Genomic DNA, 21,595 nt, shown 5'->3' on the forward strand with positions numbered 1-21,595 from the left:
CTGACAAGATGGTTTTGGTGAACCTATGCTGATTCCTGAGATCACGGCTTCTTTTTCTAAATACACAAAAAAACTGCTTTGGTAAATCATTCTAGAATTTTGCACAGAATGAATCAAAATCAGTGGTATTACATAATCCTAGGCTCCATAGTTCTGATTTCCAGAACTATTGACTAATAGTAATCAAAACACTGGAATACTTCACTGGAAGACTTCTCTGTCCTTACTTTTCAGTAGGGGGTTTAATCTAACTCCTCTCCAGTCTTTCTTCTAGAGGAACTCTGTAATTCCAATCTCACTATTTTGGTCTTCCCTTCTCCTCCTCCTTATCTCTTCCCCCTTTCTGCTTTTCCTTCTCCTCCTTCTCCTGATATAACTTACTTCCTTTCTGAGAATGCCACTTGTCTCTTTCTAACTTTAGGTACTTTTGCCTACTTCTTTCCTTCTACTTTAATTCACATAGAAGTACCGTGAGACTATGTAAACACATCTACTTTAAGTTAAACATTTCCTCTATTCAGAGTCATGCCTTTTTATATTTAAAAAAAAATTCTAGGCTGGGCACGGTGGCTCACTTCTGTAATGCCAGCACTTTGGGAGGCCGAGGCGGGTGGATCACCTGAGGTTGGGAGTGCAACACCAGCCTGACAAACATGGAGAAACCTCATCTCTACTAAAAATACAAAATTAGCTGGACGTGGTGGCACATGCCTGTAATCCCAGCTACGTGGGAGGCTGAGGCAGGAGAAGCGCTTGAACCCAGGAGGCGGAGGTTGTGGTGAGCCAAGATTGTGTCATTGCATTCCAGCCTGGACAACAAGAGCAAAACTCCATCTCAAAAAAAAAAATTCTATATTTGATTTCAAGCCTCAAATAACTTAAGTAATAATGACTACCCATCTGTAAGAGTCCTTGCTTTGTGATACTGTTACACTCTGTTGTATTGAGAATGCTCTAAGTCATATGTTACCAACATGCTGTGGACCTTTAGCTTTTCCCAGTTTCCAGACAGAAGCAGTGGTCAGTCACTTAACTGCACTAGACAGAAAAGCAGTTTTTCCCTTCTGAAGGTTAAACAGGTTTTTACACCACTGGAGATTTTTAAGGTGGGTATGGGTATTAAGGTGGGTATTGTTAGTCTTTTCCCTCTAAGTTTCCCCAATGTCCAAAGAATTAACAAAATTTTAAGGGTTCTGATTTATATGGTAACACAGTCTGTTAGTCAGATGTACCAAGTTTCTTCCTATCTAATTTTTTTTATTTTTATTTTTTTTGAAATGGAGTCTTGCTCTTGGTCAGGCAGGTCTCGAACTCCTGACCTCGTGATCCACCCACCTCAGCCTGCCAAACTGCTGAGATTATAGGCGTGAGCCACCATGCCCGGCCTTTTTTATTGTTATTTTTTTCAGAGACAGTGTCTTGCTCTGTCGCCCAGGCTGGAGTGCAGTGGCGTCATCTTGGCTCACTGCAACCTCCACCTCCCGGGTTCTAGCGATTCTCCTGCCTCAGCCTCCCGAGTAGCTGGGATTACAGGCGTGCACCACCGTGCCCGGCTAATTTTTGTATTTTTAGTAGAGACGGGGTTTCATGTTAGCCAGGCTGGTCTCGAACTCCGGACCTCAGGCAATCCATCCTCCTCATCTTCCCAAAGTGCTCAGGATACAGGCGCCCAGCTCTTGCCATCTTAGAGTCTTTGCAATTTTTACTTTTATAGCCTAAAGTGGCGCTTTGCATGCCTAGATGTATCTTCAGCCTTTATACTTTAATCATTCTGAGGGGGGTTTTCTGTGTCCCTCCTTCATCACCTTCACCCTGTTTACTCCCTCCATATCATTCATTCCTCAATACTTATTTCCATGTTTCCCTGTCTCCACCACTGGGATGTAAGGATTTCTTATCACTTGTTCTGTGCAGTTAATCTCAGTGCTCGGGCTCACAGCTGGGAGCTGATAAGTGCTCAATGAATTCAAGTGTTTAGAAGAATGTTAGTGCAGAGTAGAGATTGGGCAGGCAGTGTTAGTAGGTTAGTAATTATTACTAGAACCAGGTAGAGTTTCTACAACCTGCATTGAGGCCCTGAGCATGAAGAATGGAGTGTTAAAATGAGCCTTTCAAAGGCAGGATTGGCAACTGTGTGAGGTGACACCACTAGAGACATGGTTTGGACAGCGCTTCCGAAGATGGAATACCAGATAAAGATCAGTGTGGATGGTGGAGTCCTTAACTGATTCAGTTTAAGATATTTGATTTTGATGCATTTGGGAATAGGGTGCTCTTGCTGAGAATAGGGGTTAGGGCTCAATTTACAAACCTTTCTGTTCCTACATTCTAGGTTCCTATGATTATAATGATTCTTGCTGATAATATTTTCTCCCAGCATTATTTCTTATATATAATACGTGACTATAAAGGCTCGTTCCTGTTTCAAATGCCTTTGCACATGCATGATTTGGATTTTTTTCCAGCCAGGTCTCAGGGGCCATGTTTTTAAAGTCTGCTGCTCTTTGGGCTGATATTGTGGCTTCTTGAATCGCATACAAAGCAGGTTTCTTGAAATCTGCTCATCTACCATAGTTTACCAGTTATCTGTATCCTTGCGGCTCTGCTTGAACTGAAGCTTAATCTTGTTCTTTGTAGGGCCCAGCTATTTTTGCTTGTCATTCTATCACATGCCGTTTACCAGGAAACATTCAAATAATGATTAATGATGCCAAAACTTTAAACATGGAGGAAGCTGGTAATACCAGCTCCGCTGTGGAGATTTTCAGGAGCATCAATGCCGGCTGACCGGACTGGTATTTGAGTCTCGGATAATGGAGTAGTAGGTCTCAAAAAGTTACACTTTTCTGGGTAATTGTCAGCTTCCCAGAGTACTGTTAAATTCTGTCCCTCAAAAATGATGAAATTGCAAAGGAATGGTCACTGTTACAGGTATTCTATCTTCATTATCTGATTTAATCCTCAAAAAAATAATTGATGTGGAATAAGTTTTTTCATTCCCATTTTAATGCTAGAAAATTGAAGCACAAAATCTACCCACCAAATTGTGGACTGTGTTTTCTGTATCTCTTATCAAAGCTCTCCAGGGTCCCTAGACCCTCTGTTGTCCCTCTGTTCTAGCCTTTCAGATTGGCTTCTTTCACTTAGTTATTATACATAAAATGCCATGTTATAAAATGCCTCAGTCAGGATAATGGGGAAAGTGTTCTTGGGAGACAGTGCACATAAAGACCTTACAGTGCTGGGTGCTCAAAATGTTACCATCACTTTTATTGTTAGCCTCTTCCCTCTTAAGTTTCCCCAGTGTTTAGGAAATTAGCAAAACTTTAAGGGTTCTCATGGTAAGACAGTGATACGACTATTATGTATATGGTAAGGGGGTGATATATCTATCATGGTAAGTAACAGGACATTGAAAAGACAGTCATGGGAATAAAGCTAAGTAAACACATGTTTCATTGGAATAGCTTCTATTAGTGACAATACCTCCTATATTTTGGACTAATTCCCAGATGAAAGATTTTGCTGAAACTAGGCATTAATGAAACTAAGCCATTCAGTACAGTGTGATTTTCTTTTTTTATCTTGTGATTTGAGAAGTATATTCTAAAAACCCAGTAATTCAGCCAGGCTGGACATTCAGTTAAATATCAGTGGAGCCAGCTGTGTAAGGACTTATTGGCTTTGTCCTATACATGTGGTATGTCTGGAGTTTTGGAAACAATTCATGGCCTCCTTTTATCGGTTGAGTAGCATTGAGGCCTCATAAAAAATAGTAACTTGATTCTAAGGTAAATTTCCCTGGAAAGTATGAAATGGGAAAGTTAGGTTTCCATGTACCCCCCCGCTACGCATAGCATTATTTCAATTCCAAGAGGCATTTGTAGTCAATTTCTATGATGATTGGAAAGGAGCTTAAAAAATTCTTACAATCTCTTTAAAAACTTTTGAAGCAGAGGAGAAAAAATTGGTAATTTGTTTTTCAGGAAGAAACATACCTGGATTTATCTATTGCTACATGTAGGTTTTTTTTTTTTTTAACTAACTAGAATCACAGCATCTTTTTCTTTTTAAACTAACTTGAATCACAAAATCTTATGTCATACTTCATGTCTTTCCTTATTAAGGATAATTAGTTTATGGAGGATTCAGTTATGATGGTGATATTATTAGAGACTTATCTGAATGAAATCAGAAAAGTGTATCCCGTTTTATGTAGAAGATTTTTACATAAAATATTTACACACACACATACACTTCATTTTTTAGAGCAGTTTTAGGTTTAACAGCAAAACTGAGCAAAAAGTGCAGAATCCTCCCTACCCCCACCATACCCCTCACCCTAGCATCCCTGACTATAAGCTTCAAGACTGCACCAGTATGGTACAGTTGCTACAGTTGATTAACTGGTATTGGCAAAACATAATCACCCATCTTACATAGTTTACATTAGAGTTAACTTTTGGATTTGTACATTCTGTGAGCTTTCACAAATATAAAACGGCATGTACTCACCATTATGGTATCACACAAAATAGTTTCATTGCCCTAAAAATCCTTTGTGCTCTACCTATTCATCCCCCTACCAAAACCCTGATCTTTTTACTTTTTCCATAGTTTCGCCTTCGCAAGAATGTCATACAGTTGGAATCATACTATATATATGTAGCCTTTCAGATTGGCTTCTTTCACTTAGTTATTATACATTTAAGGTCCTCCGTGTCTTTTAATGGCTTAATAGCTCATTTCTTCTTAGCACTGAGTAGTACATTGCCTGGATGTTCCACAGTTTATTTTTCCATTCACCTAATCTTGGTTGCTTCCAAGTTTTGTCAATTATGGGAAAAAGCTACTGTAAACATTTATGCGCAGATTTCTGTGTGGAGATCTTAACATTCACATTGGTTACTTTTTTTAAATTTCAGATTTATCAATATTACAGAGCTATTGCAAGAGTCATATGAGAATCGAGGATCTGGAAATTCTGTATGAAAGAGGTGCCATCTGAGTAGGGCCTTAAAGGATGCGCTGATTTGGACACATAGATTGGAGGAGGTACATCGTACTGTGGCTGGCACAGTATGTGATTTTCTGTTTGATTGGAGTTCATGGTAAATGTAGGAACACGGTGTTATGTTTTCGATGCCTTCGATGCTAGGCTAAAGAAGATAGGCTTCCTTAGTGAGGCCATAGGAACCCATGGCAGATTTTTGAGGTAGGAAGTGATAAGTAATGTCACTCATTTATTTAAGCAGCTAGTCAAGCTCGCTTAGTTCCAAATAGCTGCTTGACCTTGCCTAGTTCCAAATAATTGACTTAAAATTAACAAGTTGACATTTATTAAACAGTACTTTTTACAGTTTAATTGTTCACCACTTTAGACTAAATTTTTTCTACAGGTGGTGCAAGTTAATTAGATTTTCTTATAATGAGAAAGAAAAGCATTTCAGTACAGTGTCTTCTGTTCTGATATTCAAGGTCATTTCCTATATAAAAGTAAAATTCTACACAGCATAAAACCATCCTTTTTGACATTTAGGGACCATAGGTTTTAATAACATTGAACAAAGGGTTAAATTTTTTAAAAAGTTTTTGTACACTCTTTCTTTGGTATGCTTCATCTCTTTCATTTGAGCTGAACAGCTTTAAATTTCACTTAAAGAAATGCTAGATAAAGAGAAGAACATTGTATAAGGGCAACTAAGTGAACAGGAAGCTGTGCTTCTCAGAATGGGGAGATTTTAAAATAGAGGAGAAAGCTGTCAAAGCAAAAGTATAGCAGCCTCAGCTTTACTTGGGAATTTATTAGAAATGCAGATTGTTAGACTCTACCCCAGAAGTCCTGTGGGCGGGGCTGGCAATCTGTGTTGTAAGCGAGAAAGACTAATCTAAACCACTGATCAAGGGAGGGGGATGTTAAGACTTACTGCAGAAAAGAGGTGAGAAATTGTACTAACAGTTACTGTTAATTCAACACTTACTTTGTAATGCACATTTTACAGATACAGCTTATGTAATCTTTTATGTCAACCCTAGGAAGTATAATATTACAATATCTTACTATATAGATGAGCAGAAAAGAATGGTTTAAGAAGTAGCATTGCAAAACTTCCGGCATGGAAGGTGTCTTTGACTCTATACTCTGACCTCTTTAAATCGTGCTAGGCCATGCAGGTATGTTGTTTGTCTCCCAGAAGGCAGCGGTGGGGCTAAGGCAGCACCCACCTCTCTGCTCCCTCTGCTGCATTCCCCAGCCTCCCTGACTGAGGTAGGTATTTCTTCCTTCCTGCATCCAGGTGGAGCCTGCCTGGTCCAGTGAAGGAAGCAGAACAGGAATGGCAGGAAACCAGCTTTTTCTGTTTCTCTGGAGTTCTCTTAACAAACCCTGTGACCCTAGGCCTGTCTCTTGGTATCTCTATGCCTTATTTATTTTCAGCGGTAAAATGAGGACTGGGATAAATCTGTAGGTTCTTTCTGAATTTTATCTGGCTCTAGCACTTAATTAGAGACAGATGGTCAAACTAGGTGACCTCTCAAGGGTTCATTCTGGTTCGTGTTGAGAGGAGTTTGATATTGGAAATAATAGATTCTTGTTTATGTGCGAAATGGAGACAGTACTTTCTGGAAATGGTGTGATGCAAAGTGAAATCATGTCTGTGAAGTCCCTAGTAGCCTGCCTGGCATACATGGAAGGTGCTCAGTAAATGGTAGTTCCTCAGTCCCCAAGAGGAAAACAGCCGCATTCCTGATTCTGGTGTTTTCTTTCCTTAAGTTTTAACAGGTTAGTATTTTAATTTTCCTCTCAAGGAGGGAATAAGAGGTGCTAGGTTTGTATTAAAATATTAAGTTAATTAAAGCTTCCTATTAAAATTTTAAGAGAGAGGAAGAGAATGGGGCAACATGACCACAATAAATAAAGCAAATAGGTCATTATGTTTCCAAATGGCATTATCCCTTGACTGTTGGTAGCTTTCCTAATAATAATAGGTTGAAAAAATGTTACTGTAACATAAATAATAAAAGATACTTATGGTAGTACTCTGCTAAGTACTATATAGACATGAGATACTTAATAACTTTTAATATCATGGTTTGGCAAAAGAAACTTCACAATGGATTAACTATTTATTTGGTGAACTTAACTTGGGGCAGGCTTGTGGGTGGAATTTAAGGGTTATTTCTTCTTTTTTTTTTTTTTGCTCCCCCGGAGACGGAGTTTCACTCTTGTTGCCCAGGCTGGACTGCAATGGCGTGATCTCAGGTCACTGGAACCTCTGCCTCCCGGGTTCAAGCAATTCTCCCACCTCAGCCTCCCGAGTAGCTGAGATTACAGGCTCCCGCCACCATGCCCAGCTAATTTTTCTTATTTTAGTAGAGATGGGATTTTGCCATGTTAGCCAGGCTGGTCTCAAACTCCTGACCTCAGGTGATCCACCCACCTCGGCCTCCCAAAGCGCTGGGATTACAGGCGTGAGCCACTGTGCCCAGCCGAGTTGTTTCTTCCCTAATTTCTCTCACAAACCTTCCTTTTATATAGAGAAAACATTTTTACTTTTCATTTGAAATATTCTTATTGTTGTTTTTTTCTGATCATTACTGATGTACCTTCTATAGAAATAAGACACATATTTGGCAGGGCACAGTGGCTCATGCCTGTAATCCCAGCACTTTGGGAGGCCAAGGAGGGCGGATCACGAGGTCAAGAGATCAAGAACATCCTGGCCAACCAACGTGATGAAACCCTGTCTCTACTAAAAATACAAAAATTATCTGGACATCGTGGCACACGCCTGTAGTCCCAGCTACTCAGGAGGCTGAGGCAGGAGAATCGCTTGAACCCAGGAGGCAGAGGTTGCAGTGAGCCAAGATCACGCCACTGCACTCCAGCCCAGGTGACAGAGCGAGACTCCGTCTCAAAAAAAAAAAAAAAGGAAGAAATAAGACACATATTTATCCCAACGTACATTGTTTTTCACAAGTTGCAATTTGATATCCTTAGCTAGTTTCATCATTCTACCGTGACATTTATCCCCATTATGACATTTCTAAATTATAGTGCTTCTCTCTCATGTTACGCATGTTTCTAAGCTCTTGGTTGGAATCTGTAAAATAGCTAGTTGTTAACATTTAATAAAATTTAGACTTACCTCACCTTACTCTGTTAGCAAAGAGTTACATGAACTCTGTTGTTTTGAATTAAGAGGTCAGTTGTGGCAGTAAACCTGGGTAGAATTTGGAAAGGAACTAGGCTACTTCCTTTTTGATTCTTCCTTATTAGGTCATTTGTCAAGTGGATACATTATCTTCTTTCCCTGAGGGCAGGAGACCATCTTAGTTCCCTTCTGTTAAAGAGATCTATGATTCATTACTTCCAGTGTGAAGGCCAGGTGCTTTTGCATGAGTTGTAAACTGCTAAGCGAGCCCTTTTGTGCCTTGTTTGTGTATGAGAGTCTTTCTCTTCAGAGTGTAGGGCAACCTGTCCCCAACCAGTCCCCTTTCCCAACATCCCCACCCACAGTGTGATGGATGCTGGCAGTCATACCACATTCAACATTTCCAAGTGGGACTTGTTTTTATTGGATATGATCACCAAAAAAATTTGAATTTAGATGAGAAACAAATCAAGGGGTGGTTATTCACATTGCCGATGGGTTTTGGGTTTTGTTTTTTTTTTTTTCCTTCAAAATGGTTCAGCCTAGGGGTTCTTTAAATAGCAAGTTGCTCTGCTAGATTTAAATGGGATTTGATATATAAAAATCCATTTACACATTTAACAGGATGTTATGTTGGTATACCAGAATGATGAAGAGCAAAATTCTGGAGTCTTAAACCCAAGCAAGTTTAGAATCCCAGCTTTCTCGTATCCTGGCTTGTGTGATCATGGGCGAGTTATTTAACTTCTCTCAGCCTCGGTTTTCTCACTGGTAAACCAGAGATCATAGCACCTCATAGATAGCACTTCTGGAGTGTTTTGAATGGCAGAAACAGAAAGTGTCGTGTAAGACAACACATGCATTGTGTAAGGAAAGTCTTAGATGTCTAACACAGCAGTGGCAGTGTTCATTTTCAGGGCCATTTTGCCTGAGTTTTTGTTAGGCCCTTCTCTCTTTTCTTCTTTGAATGTATTTGTAAACTTGAAAAGAACACCGCGAAAAGAGCTCAGGATCCTGCTCAGCCACACTTCACCTGCTCTCCAGCTTGGCATGATTGATTGTCAGGAAGGCATAAAGAACTCAAACCATGAATTACCCTACTCGGGGTAATCACAATGGTTTGGATGGCATCTCCTTAATTTTTGCTTTGACTTTTCTTTCCTCCGGGCAAGAGAGAGTAGAAGGAGTGGCAAGAGTATGCCTTTTAGTTACTGAGTTCTAAATTCTTGGAATGAGCATAGTCTGTTTTCTCAGGATCAGACTAGAAGGCGTCATTCTATTACAGAAGAGCCAAGACTTGTCCCAAATGGATGTGGGTTTCAGCAAAGCATCTTTAGCTTAAGGAGCGAAGGATTTGGACTGTGTTCAGCATCTGTGCTTCGCAGGCCACTCTTTATCCTTTTAGTGAGTCCCGCTTGTCTGTCCTCTGTCAAGGGCTCGTGTACACCATGCTGATTTAGTGCTAACTGGGGAGATTACAAATGCCTTGCCTGGCACTGTCAGCTAAACCTGAATCATTGTCTGTGTACTGTGACCCGACTAGTCAGAGGTTTACCCTTTGCTTTGCTGCTCACTCTTATAGGCAGAAAAGCCCAGCTCACCCCAGCTTTTATAACGGGGTCAGCTCCAGAAATAGCACCTTTAACTGGGAATAGAAGCAACACAAATCCAGCAAGTAGATAGTATACAATGGCTGCTTTTTGGCCTTGGAACAAACAAAAGTGGTTTATGTTTACTACATACCACTTCCAAAACTGCTGTCTGTCATTTACTAGAGAGTTTATCATTCCTGAGGGCCAAGGTCTAGGTTTTCTTCACACAAATGCCCTCCAAGTGGGAGCTGCTTGGTGTTGGTCATTGTTTGCACCCAGATTTATAATTTGGGGTTAATTAGACATAAAGACTTAAAGGCAAATGTGGTACCTGATGGACCATGGGTAGATAAGACACCTCCCAAAATGGATGGTGAAATTCTTTTTAAGAGTCATAGTATGGAGAAAGTCCCCTTGTGAAGCTTTGTGTTGGAGCCTAGAATTGTAATGTATGGCACTATTAGACTTCCAAAACCAATGTGAACTTCAGTCGTTTGTATCATGATTTGCTTTATCCTATGTTCCTATCTTTCCCGGTAGTAGGTATTACTTTGTCTGTGGGTTACATGTCTTTCTCCTCTAAGATTTAACCTGGGGATTATTACATGCATATTTATATGCCCAGAGACAATAGTAGGCGCTCATCAATTGTTGAATAAATGAATGAATGAATGACCAAATGATTGAACAAACAAAGGAGCAAGTGAACAAACAGAGATGTGAAGTGGTGGGGGGCATTTCTATATGATTGTGTGTAAAGAGCACCCTAACACAGCATCTGAACAAATCACTCTTGGAAATCTGTTCAATCCCACCACCTTCACTAGCTATTCCTGTGAACCCCAACCCTCCCCTAGATACATTTTGGTGATATATTAGATTATTTTTTCTTTGCCTCCCTCCTACCATGATAAAAAGGATATTGAATGGCCAAACCAGTGCATTACAGTAACATGAAAGAAATGTTTATCTTTCATCTACCAGAATTCAAGGAAAAAAACCACAAAACTTTGTCAGCTAGATACTTTCCTGAATTGTTTTTTAAAATTGTTTAAAAAATTATTATTATTGCCAGGCACGGTGGCTAACACCTGTAATCCCAGCACTTTGGGAGGCTGAGGCAGGTGGATCACCTGAGGTCAGGAGTTCAAGACCAGCCCGAGTAACATGGTGAAACCCCATCCCTACTGAAAATACAAAAAATTTAGCTGGGTGTGGTGGCACCATGCCTGTAATACCAGCTACTCAGGAGGCTGAGGCAGGAGAATTGCTTGAACCCGAGAGGCGGAGGTTATGGTGAGCCGAGATGGTGCCACTGCACTCCAGTCTGAGCAACCAGAGTGAAACTCCATCTCAAAAAAATATATATATATTATTATTTTTAATAGGGTCCCACCCTGTCACCCAGTCTAGAATGCAGTGGCACAATTATAGCCTACAGCAGCCTGAAATTCTTGGTCTCAGGGAATCCTCCCACCTCAGCCTCTTGGGTAGCTAGGACTGCAGGTGTATGCTACCATGCACAGCTATTTAATAACAGTTTTTTTTAGAGAGGGAGCGTTGCTTTGTTGTTCAGACTGGTCTCAAATTCCCGGCTTCATGCGATTCCCCTGCCTCAGCCTCCTTCTCAGGTAGCTGGTATTGTATGAATTGTGTTTTGAATAAGAAGAAATTAAGGCTTATAAGATCAGTTGTGTGTTAGCAGCGATGTTGCTGACTGATCTTTGCAATCTGTAGGACTATTTGGTGCTACAATAATAAGAAATTAATCAGTTTGATAATTTTGCCATCATTTTTAAAAAATTTTGTAAAATAATTGAAAATCATATGTGCAATATCTTATAAATTTTTATTTTCAAAGCACATTCCTATATGGCAATTGAAGTACAGTTTGAACTTACTTTTGACTACCTTCTTAATAGTGATTGATCATAAATTATAAAATTTTCACTTACCAAATTATGTTTAAAAAGCTAAATTTAACATTTTCTTTTTAATTTTGGAGTTGAATGGTCCTTTATTCCAGTCTTTGTTTTTGTTTTTTTCCAAGGGAAGACAAATATTTAAGTTCAAAGTCATGTTTAATAGAGGAAATGAATGAAAAGTGGATGTCTGTTATCTGTTTGCAACAATCATCTTTATGTCCTAGTAAAAGTTTAATTTTAAAATCTAACTTTACAGATCTATACCCAGTAAATTTTTTTTTTTTTTTTTTTCAAACAGAGTCTTGCTCTGTCACCCAGGCTGGAGTGCAATGGCGCTGTGTCGGCTCACTGCACTCCGTCTCCCGGGTTCAAGCGATTCTTCTGCTTCAGCCCTCCTGAATAGCTGGTACTACAGGTGCATGCCACCACACCCAGCTAATTTTTGTATTTTTAGTAGAGACAGGGTTTCACTATGTTGGCCAGGCTGGTCTTGAACTCCTGACCTCAGGTGATCTGCCTACCTCAGCCTCCCAAAGTGCTGGGGTTACAGGCATGAGCCGCCACTCCTGGCCCCCAGTAAATAATTTTAAGAATCTTAAAGTTACTCATTTTTACTTAGACTTTATGAGATTAAGCTATTTTCAAACTCACTTCTATTTGTCCTCCCCTGAGAGCTATTTACAAATTTGTATAGCACTCTGGAGTGTGATAATATCGAAGTCAATGCACAGTCAGGAGGCTTGTTAACTTATGTGATGATGTCAGTTTTGATAAACATCTTTCTCATTTAGGCATTTAATGATAATCATTTCTTCAAGAAAAAGTTCTTAGTGGGGAAAAAGAGGCGAAAAGTACAGTGTGATTAACTTATGATGCATTTTGGATTACAGCCTTTTAACCAAAAGAGAATCATCATTAAAACAATAATTCCTCAGAAGGCTTGAGGCATTTAACTTCTCTTAATTAAATTAGCTCAGTTTACTGCCAGTCAATAAAGTCTGGTTTGGAATGATGATAGAAATTAAATATCTAAGAATGCAGTATACATAATAGTTAAAGAAATGCAATTAAAAGTAATAAGGAGGTACTACTTTTCACTTAGGAAATTAATAATGATTTATAGAAGTGAGACTACTAACTTCTGGGAAAAATATAGTGAGACTGTCACTTTTATACACCACTAGAAAGCCCTTTTATAATGTTTGTCAAGATTCTTCAAAATACTAATAGCTTTTGATCCATTAATTCTTTGTCTAGGACATGCTGAGTTGGTGATCAGATGTGAAGAAAACTTCAGGCCAGGCTTGGTGGCTCACGCCTGTAATCCCAGCACTTTGGTAGTTCAAGGTGGGAGCATCGCTTGAGCAAAGGAGTTCAAGACCAGTCTGGGCAACATAGAGAGATCCCATCTCTACAAATAATTTAAGAAATGAAATTAGCTGGGAGTGGTGGCACATGCCTGTGGTCCCAGCTTACTTGCAGGACTAAGGCAGGAGGATCACCTGAGCCTGGGAGATTGAGGCTAAAGTGAGCCCGTGATCACACCACTGCTCCCCAGCCCAGGTGACAGAGTGAGCACCTGTCTAAAAAAAAAAAAAACCTGGAAAAAGAAAAACTTCATACAGCCAAAATACCCAACATCATGCAAATGCATGGTTGATTTATGTTATTTTCTATTTTGGAATATTATGCAGAGGTTAAATAATAAGTGCACATAATATTTACTACAAGGCAGAATATTTGCTATATCTTAATTTTACTAAAAAGTGTAACATATAATAATATTTGAATTATGTATGGAAAAAGAGAGTGAGAACAAGAATGAATTGAAAACAGAAAGAAAATGCACCCAGATGTTTACAGTCAGTGATTATGTTCTGACTGGCAAAACATAAGTAGATTTTTTTTTTCTTTTTTTTTTTTTTGAGAGAGATGGAGTCTTGCTTGTGGCCCAGGCTGGAGTGCAGTGGCGCCATCTCAGCTGACTGCAAGCTCCCCATCCCAGGTTCACACCATTCTCCTGCCTCAGCCTCCTGAGTAGCTGAGACTACAGGCACCTGCCACCCCACCCGGCTAATTTTTTTTTTTTTGTATTTTTAGTGGAAACGGAGTTTAACCGTGTTAGCCAGGATGGTCTTGATCTCCTGACTTCGTGATCTGCCCGCCTTGGCCTCCCAAAGTGCTGAGATTACAGGCGTGAGCCACTGTGCCCGGCCATAAGTAGATTTATTTTCTAAAATAAGTGCATATTACACTTATGATAAAAATTATCATCATGAAAGATTTTATGTTCAAGGATTTCATATAGCTGCTTTGTATTTCTTCTGGCACATTACAGTCATAGTGGCAGTGACTTGTAGGGACATTGTCCTGATACTTCGAGTGCAATTGATGATATTTGTTTAATAGTGAATGTAGCTTAAGAAAAGAAAAGCAATCAAACAACAAGGTGATTAATGTAGCCACTTCAACTCCTCAGATCTTTGGCTGACATGTTTTCCTAGCAAAGCAGAGGTACTTAACTAACCACAGAGAAATGCTCACACATGTCAGAAGGAAATCCAAGTGATCACTTGTTTTGCCTTGGGCATCTGCACTTTTTATATAAGTATGACTTTCAGTCTGTGAGACCTTTCGATAAGTAGTGATAATCCAGAAGGATTGATGTAGTGATTCTGGACTTGAGATTTCTTTTCACCACTAAGACATTTGACTGTCACTTGCATCTTAATGCGTCCATATAATTTTCTAAAGCATTGGGGGACTGACTAGGTAAAGTCACTGTGGCCTTTTAAGTATGTGGCCAGCTGATCTCATGGCCTACCAGGGCTTCCAAGTGATTAGTGGGGATTGGCAAGAATTGACCTCTTTGGAGCCTGGGGAGGCAGAAGTACCTCAGTAATAGGGTTCAGGGAGACCATACATGGAGCATAGCTCTCTCTGACTTTCAAGTGGATAGAGCTAGTAGGCCTCTACTCATTGTGGTGTTTGTGATCAGACAACCCTTGCTTTGGAATCACTCTTCGTTGAGAGATACTGAGTCCAGGATGTGCCAAGCAAGATTGTAGATACTCTCACAGATGAATTCACCCATTCATTTATTGAGCACTTGATTTTTTAGGAGTACAACTTCATCATTAATTTCCTAGCTGTGTCATACAGGATCAGTTAGGTTAGATTCTCCCTTTGTAATTAATCCTAATTGCTGGGACTTTCATGTTTCTAATAAATGTCTATTCCCATAATCCTGTCCTACATTAGCTTTCTTCATGTTGTTCTGTGAGATCTATAGTAAGCAGATGACACTGCTTATTATAGATTAGCTACTTCCTGTGTAATAAATCAATTATTCCTCTCAATAGGGACAATCTTGAATTAAAATCACATTTTTTTCTTAGAGAATTCTCTGTCAAATTCTATCAAAGGCCATGGTTTTTTTTGTTTTTTTTTTTTTCCTGTCCAGAGACACCTTATTAATGACTTGATTTTATCCTTATTTCAAATTCTAATTCATGAATATCAGGGTATAAAATATTAAATATGCTGGTTCAGCTACCAGCTTTTCAAGCATCATTGGGGAACATCCTGTTATATAATAGGAAAACATTTGGTATGGCTTTTGGGATGTAGATCATTTTTATAATTATTATAGGGAGTAAAAAATGCAGAATAAAAAATAATTTAAATATAATTAGAAGTGAGAGCAGGTCAGTATGACCAAGAATATAAATCATAAATCTCTCTATTTTTGTGTTCCTTTATTTCATGCAGAGAAATACCAAACCTTTGTTTCTAAAAGGGCACCAGGTCTTTCAGAAAGCTGTGGTTCTCAGCAGCAATTTTAGTTAGGTTTCGTTTCATGTTTTCTGGTATTCTGGGCCTCCCAATAGCCATTTGTGCCTAAAAGAGAGAGAGGATGAGGAGATTTGGGTTGCTTGTACTGCCAGCCTGGTGGCACTCTGGGGATATTAGATGTGTTCTGAGGATATATGTGTTTATTTAAATTTAAACAGAAAGTATTTCAATGGATGCTGGGCGCAGTGGCCTGTAGTCCCAGCACTTTGGGAGGCTGAGTTGGGTAGATGACCTGAGGTCAAGAGTTTGAGACCAACCTGGCCAACATGGCAAAACCCCGTCTCTTAAAAAAAAAAAAAAAAAAAAATTAGCCAGGTGTGGTGGTGCATGCCTGTAATTCCAGCTGCTCTGGAGGCTGAGGCAGGAGAATCGCTTGAACCCGGGAGGCGGAGTTTGCAGTGAGCAGAGATTGCGCCACTGCACTTCAGCCTGGGCGATAAGCAAGACTGTGTCTCAAAAGAGGCTAGGCGCAGTGGCTTACGCCTATAATCCCAGCACTTTGGGAGGCTGAGGAGGGTGGATCATGAGGTCAAGAGATCGAGACCATCCATGGCTAACACGGTGAAACCCCGTCTCTACTAAAAATACAAAAAATTAGCCGAGCATGGTTGTGGTGGCACACACCTGTAGTCCCAGCTACTCGGGAGGCTGAGGCAGGAGAATCGCTTGAACCTGGGAGGTGGAGGTTGCGGTGAGCCGCGATCAAGATCATGCCACTGCGCTCTAGCCCGGGCGACACAGGGAGACTCCATCTGAAAAAAAAAAAAAAAAGAAAGGGAGAGAGGGAGGGAGGGAGGATTTCAATGGGACAGAAATTCACCAGGTACATTAGAAAGCCTTAACACTTGAGAATGTGAAGTCTTAAAAAAAATTTTTTTAATAGTTTGGGTTACTTAAAATGAAATACTGTACTGAAGCAGATAGAAGGACTCTTAGGACCTTTCTGTGTTTCTTCTGTACCTAATGGCATATAATAAATTCACTGTTTTGTTTAAATGATCAGTTGACTTGAGCTTTCTGTCATCTGCTCAGAAACACTACTTTAGGAATCTTATTCCATTTGGGAATTCTGACTAGAAGCTCTCCCAGGGTCATCATATGAATGAGTAACTTACTTCGCAGCTCTCCTCTTCCTCAGTAGCTGCTTCTCTGTAGGGCTGGAGGGAAAGAGAGTCTTCCATGCAGTCTCATCAGCCAAGAGGAAGGAGATGCTGGTACCTGGTCTGCATCCCAACAGACAGCACACCCTCATGCCTTCCCCTTGAATGTACCTTTTTGGCTCTTCCTCATTCCTGGGGAAATGTAATAGTTCTTGATTGTTCACAGTGTTGACTGCTCCCTACAATGTGAGGTTCCCCCTCTCCTCTCCCACAGATGGCACAGAGAAAGTGCTTATCATCGACACAGTAGTGGGGAAAAAAATGGATTCTCATTTTAGCAGGTGACTTGAGGGTGGTTGGTTGTCAGTGTGCTTTTTTTCATATTGGCTTGTTGCTACAGGGTCTGATGCTGGCAGATTACAACTTTGTAGCTAGTCATTTTCGATTTATTTGAACCTATTTCTCCAGTCTACTGAGCTTTCACTGGCTAGCATCAATTCAGACACATTGCAATTCTTCAGAATCTCTATCCCCATCAGATGGTTCGATCTATGAGAAATTTAGCTAGAGGCGTTTAGACAAAAAAGAAATATTGTGGCTGGGGAAGCATTTAAGTTAGAGGAGGCAGCCAGGGCTGTTTTATTACTTAGTCCTGTGTCACCTGTGATGACCCATGAGAGTGGAGAATATTGATCGCTTGTCACTCAAGGCATTCAGCAGATTGCATTGACAAAGCTTGGCAGGTCTCTAATAGCAGGGTTACTGGCCTTGCTGCGGCCCAAGGGAAAACTCTGCAGGCCCTATTACTTGGCGGCCTTTAACTCTTATAGAATTGGGAGAGAACACTGACAAAAGCGAGGACATGATTTTACGGTTACAAATGATTTTTCTTGCTTGCTTTCTTCTCACCCTTTTTAATTTTTCTTTTCTTCTTTTCCTGTCTATCTTACCTTCCCTCCGTGATCCCTGCCAGCCCCTCCTTTCTTATTATAGCTGATCATGGCAGTATTGTTTTTTTCTGGGTAAAAATCAGAGTGGATTAGAGAAAGCTTAGCAGGCCTAGCATGAGGCCTGAGTTATTCTCTCCTTTTAGGACAGCTTGTGCCTGACCACATTGTTTGGAATGTGCCTGTGGATATATATACAGTACTTGAACTTGATGTGTAGGCCATTCACAGCTGTTGTCCTCTAGTAGAATAAGAACTGCCACTTCATGACAGATGGGTTTCTCTCGTTTTCCATTTCCTGGTAGCCAGGCTTGGTTCAAGCCTTTGACCTTACATAGTCCCGAGGTTCAGCTGAAAGTAATGTGCTGACATCAGAGAGATAATGGCACTAGTGCAAAACAGGAATGATTCTAAAAAAACAGTAGAGAGGATTCTATCTTTCCTAGACACTGCCTGATTTATGCACAGGTTCGAATCACCACCATTAATGACATTTTCATTCCTAACATAGGTTGGCCTCCTGTTGGACACTGTTGTGTAATGAGCGTTTCTGCATGGCTGTCATTTGCTTTATGAAGCATTCTTTTTATTTCTATTTTCTGTGTACCTTTCATTTAAAAAAATATCGTGTTTGTTATCTCCATTGTCTCTTTGAGGATGAGAAAGACAAATATCATTACCCCCATTTCAAAGAAGAGTAAGTTCTAATCACAAGTGATTTAAATGTTAGAGTTTCATTCAATATTTTCACTAAAATTTCTAGTCCTCTAGTAAATCAGATATAAGCAAAGATCATATGTCTATTTCAGCCTCTAGGTAGGCTGGCCAGCTTTCTTGCTTTCTCCCTCTCCCCTCCCCTCCCCTCCCTTCCCCTCCCCTCTCCTCCCCTCCCTTCCCCTCCCCTCTCCTCCCCTCCTTTCTCCTCTCCTTTTTTTTTTCTGTAGTCTTGTACTGGTCACCCCTTCACTTCCTCTTCCTTTGCAATGCTTTAGGCTGCCCAAAAGGTTCTAGCCAGATGAACAGAAACAGAGGAGAGGAGAGCTTCTTAAGAGGCTGGTAGGCCAGGTGCAATGGCTCATGCCTGTAATCCCAGCACTTTGGGAAGCCGAGGTGGGCAGATCACCTGAGGTCAGGAGTTCGAGACCAGCCTGACCAACATGGTGAAACCCCGTCTCTACTAAAAATACAGGAATTAGCTGGGCATGATGGCGCACACCTGTAATCCCAGCTACTCGGGGGGCTGTGGCAGGAGAATTACTTGAACCCAGGAGGTGGAGGCTGCAGTGAGCTGAGATCACACCACTGCACTCCAGCCTGGGTGACAAAGTGAGACCTCATCTCAAAAAAAAAAAAAAAAAAATGGGATGGGTCAGCCTTGAGTAGTGGACATGGCCTTTGCATTTATATTCCAACATTTTGCCACAGATGAGTTATGTATTATTGGCAGATTACTTAATCTCTCTGAGCCTTTGTTTCTCCATTTATCGAATGGAAGGTAATATTGTTTACCAAAAAAAGTGAATTATGTGGTATATGGATTATTTCTCAATAAAAAATATGAGTTGTGTAAAGTTTCTAACATAGAAATGCCCTCCTTTGCTTCCTTCCTCCTTATACAACTAAGGGCCCACAAAGGCAGAATGAGAATTACCATCTAGGCCAATACTGGGGAAATATGTGCTACTACTGGAGACAGAAATGTGGAAGTATTGCAAACGAATGTGGACCTATTAATATTCTATAGCACTTTGAGCCACTTTGAATTAAAATACTTATCTGTGAAAGGTTTTATAATTTATATGACCTGAAATAATTTACACCTAATTAGATTTTGTCAACTGAATAATTCTGTCTCATGTTGCTTCCACAGAATAATTTAAGCAACTGCATTTTATTCTCAAAATAGCTGTAAATGTCAAATTAATTTTGTTGACATGATCAACATGTAGAAGAGCTACTTGGCAGAATTGTTTGTCAACTGAATGTATTATGCATCTTTACAAAATATGTAGATTGATTATGGTTTAGCTGACTTTTGCAGTTTGTTGGTCTCCTGGAAAGAAGTAACGGGTGGTGGTTACAAAAACCGTTATGGCATTTCTGTTCATCTGGCTAGAAACTTTTCGATATCTGTAAGTTTTCCTTCACTTTTCATTATATAGACCATGTCTTTCCCTTGGGTGTTATCTTTTTTGTCTGGGTGAGACTGGATCCCACGTAACTGCTTTGGTGTTTGTTATACTCCTCATTAATTTTATGGGGCTCTTAGTTGACACTGGCCACATAAAAATGATTGTTGAGTCTCACTCTTTTTATTTTGGACCATTTCTTTCATGTGGGAGCCTCTTTATCCCTCTCCTTAAAAACCCTGTTTAAGGATTAGTGTCCTTGCAGTTTAGTTGTAGCTTACTCAAGTTATCCCATTTATTCCAAAATCCCTTTTCCACTCCATTATACCCTGTCTAGTCCGGTCTTCTAGCTACTAAGATTGAAGTCCTGTCATCTTCAGGTTTGGTTGAATCCAGTGCTTCCCAACCCTGTCTCATCATGGCACATGTAGAAAATGATATTATTGTACAGCACACGGAAGTAAATCAAGACCTTTTGCTGTGGAGGTACCTGGCTCAGAGGCCATGACCTGCCTTAAGTAGGAGGGAATACATGCATACTATCCTGTATGTTTTGGTGTAACCAATCCCCAAATTTGAACCAATCTTGGCAGGTATTAGAAATTTGCTTATTTGGTGACATCTGGAATTTACCTCCTCTTTTGAGCTCAGTATTTCATGTACTTTAAGGTCATTACTGAGCTTTCTACCAAATCATTCCCATTTGTGTCTAGTCATTAGATAATTCAGATTTCTACCTTGGATGCCTTGAAGTGATGACACCTTACCCTTGCTCATCTCTCTCCCAAGGGAATAAACCTGTATTTTGCTTTCAGCTTCTGCTTAGAGGAGCTGGCTCCATCCAGAACAATTCCCCTCCCACTGGACATCAAAAGATTGCATTTCCATTGGCAACAAGTCTCAACATAGCTCAGAAACTACTGTTGACTACTTGTCTCCCCTATAACAATATTGGATCCATTGGAGAGTGAATCAGTGTCTCCCTCAAGTTCAGCCCACTCATTTAGATTTTTCATTTTAGACTCCGTGGGAAGGATGTCCCAGTGCAGAGTTGGCCTCTGTACCCCTGATTATGTTTCAGCTTTCTCTAATTTCTCTGCTAACCTGCTGTTGATGCCCCTAAAGGCACTCAATATTGAGTGTGCTTTATAAATACATGAACTACATGTATTTTATGAAAACATAAACTACAAATACGTTAAAATATACTGTAGATTCATTACTAAAAGGCATTATCTATTCAGTATCCTTAATGTACAAATAATAAAAGAGATATGAAACCCTGTGTCTAGAGCTAAAAATATACCTTGACAGTACAAATACACATGGCTAAAAGGCATTATCTTTTTAGTATCTTCAATGTACAAATAATCAAAAGGTCTGAATACTTCTGATTTTCATAATGGAGAAGGGGAATTGTAGAAACTGTAGACCAATTAGCTTGATGTCAGCTCAGAAAAGATTCTAGAAAATATTATTAATGAATGCTTTCTGAGAGTTTAATAAAAGAAGTAGTCATCACTGGGAACCTGTGGAGGTTCACTTAAAATGTTATGCCATCTATATTCCTTCTTCTGCAGCAGAGATTGCCAAACTTTTTCTATACATAGCCAGATAGTAAATATTTTAGGTTTTTTGGGCCATACAGTCTCTGGTACAGCTACTCAACTCTGCCACTGTAGCAGGAAAGCAGCCACATAGGCAGTATGTAAACAGATGGATGTGGATGTGTTCTAATAAAATAACTTAATTTATAAAAACAGGCAGCAGGCTGATTTGGCCAATTGGCCATCGTTTACCAACCCCTGCTTTAGAAGAATATCTTAGATAATGTGTACCTGATATATTCTATTCTTCTTTCTGATGGGAAATACTTTCTCTTTTTTTGGCGTAA

General features: G+C 39.9%; 1 protein-coding gene across 26 annotated transcripts in view, besides 1 other annotated feature; it reads left to right on the forward strand.

Moving 5' to 3' along the window:
* Window positions 1-21,595, forward strand: part of AUTS2 (activator of transcription and developmental regulator AUTS2) — a 1,195,032-nt gene that overhangs the window by 456,123 nt on the left and 717,314 nt on the right. The window lies entirely within an intron of this gene.
* Window positions 17,514-18,015: an enhancer, noted in NCBI's record as "NANOG hESC enhancer chr7:69537097-69537598 (GRCh37/hg19 assembly coordinates)". NCBI's record gives its function as "activates a minimal SCP1, AML or CMV promoter by ChIP-STARR-seq in naive H9 embryonic stem cells {active_cell/tissue: H9 hESC(naive)}" and the evidence as "EXISTENCE:reporter gene assay evidence [ECO:0000049][PMID:30033119]".

Source organism: Homo sapiens, chromosome 7 (genome assembly GCF_000001405.40).
Source record: "Homo sapiens chromosome 7, GRCh38.p14 Primary Assembly".
NCBI lineage: Eukaryota > Metazoa > Chordata > Mammalia > Primates > Hominidae > Homo > Homo sapiens.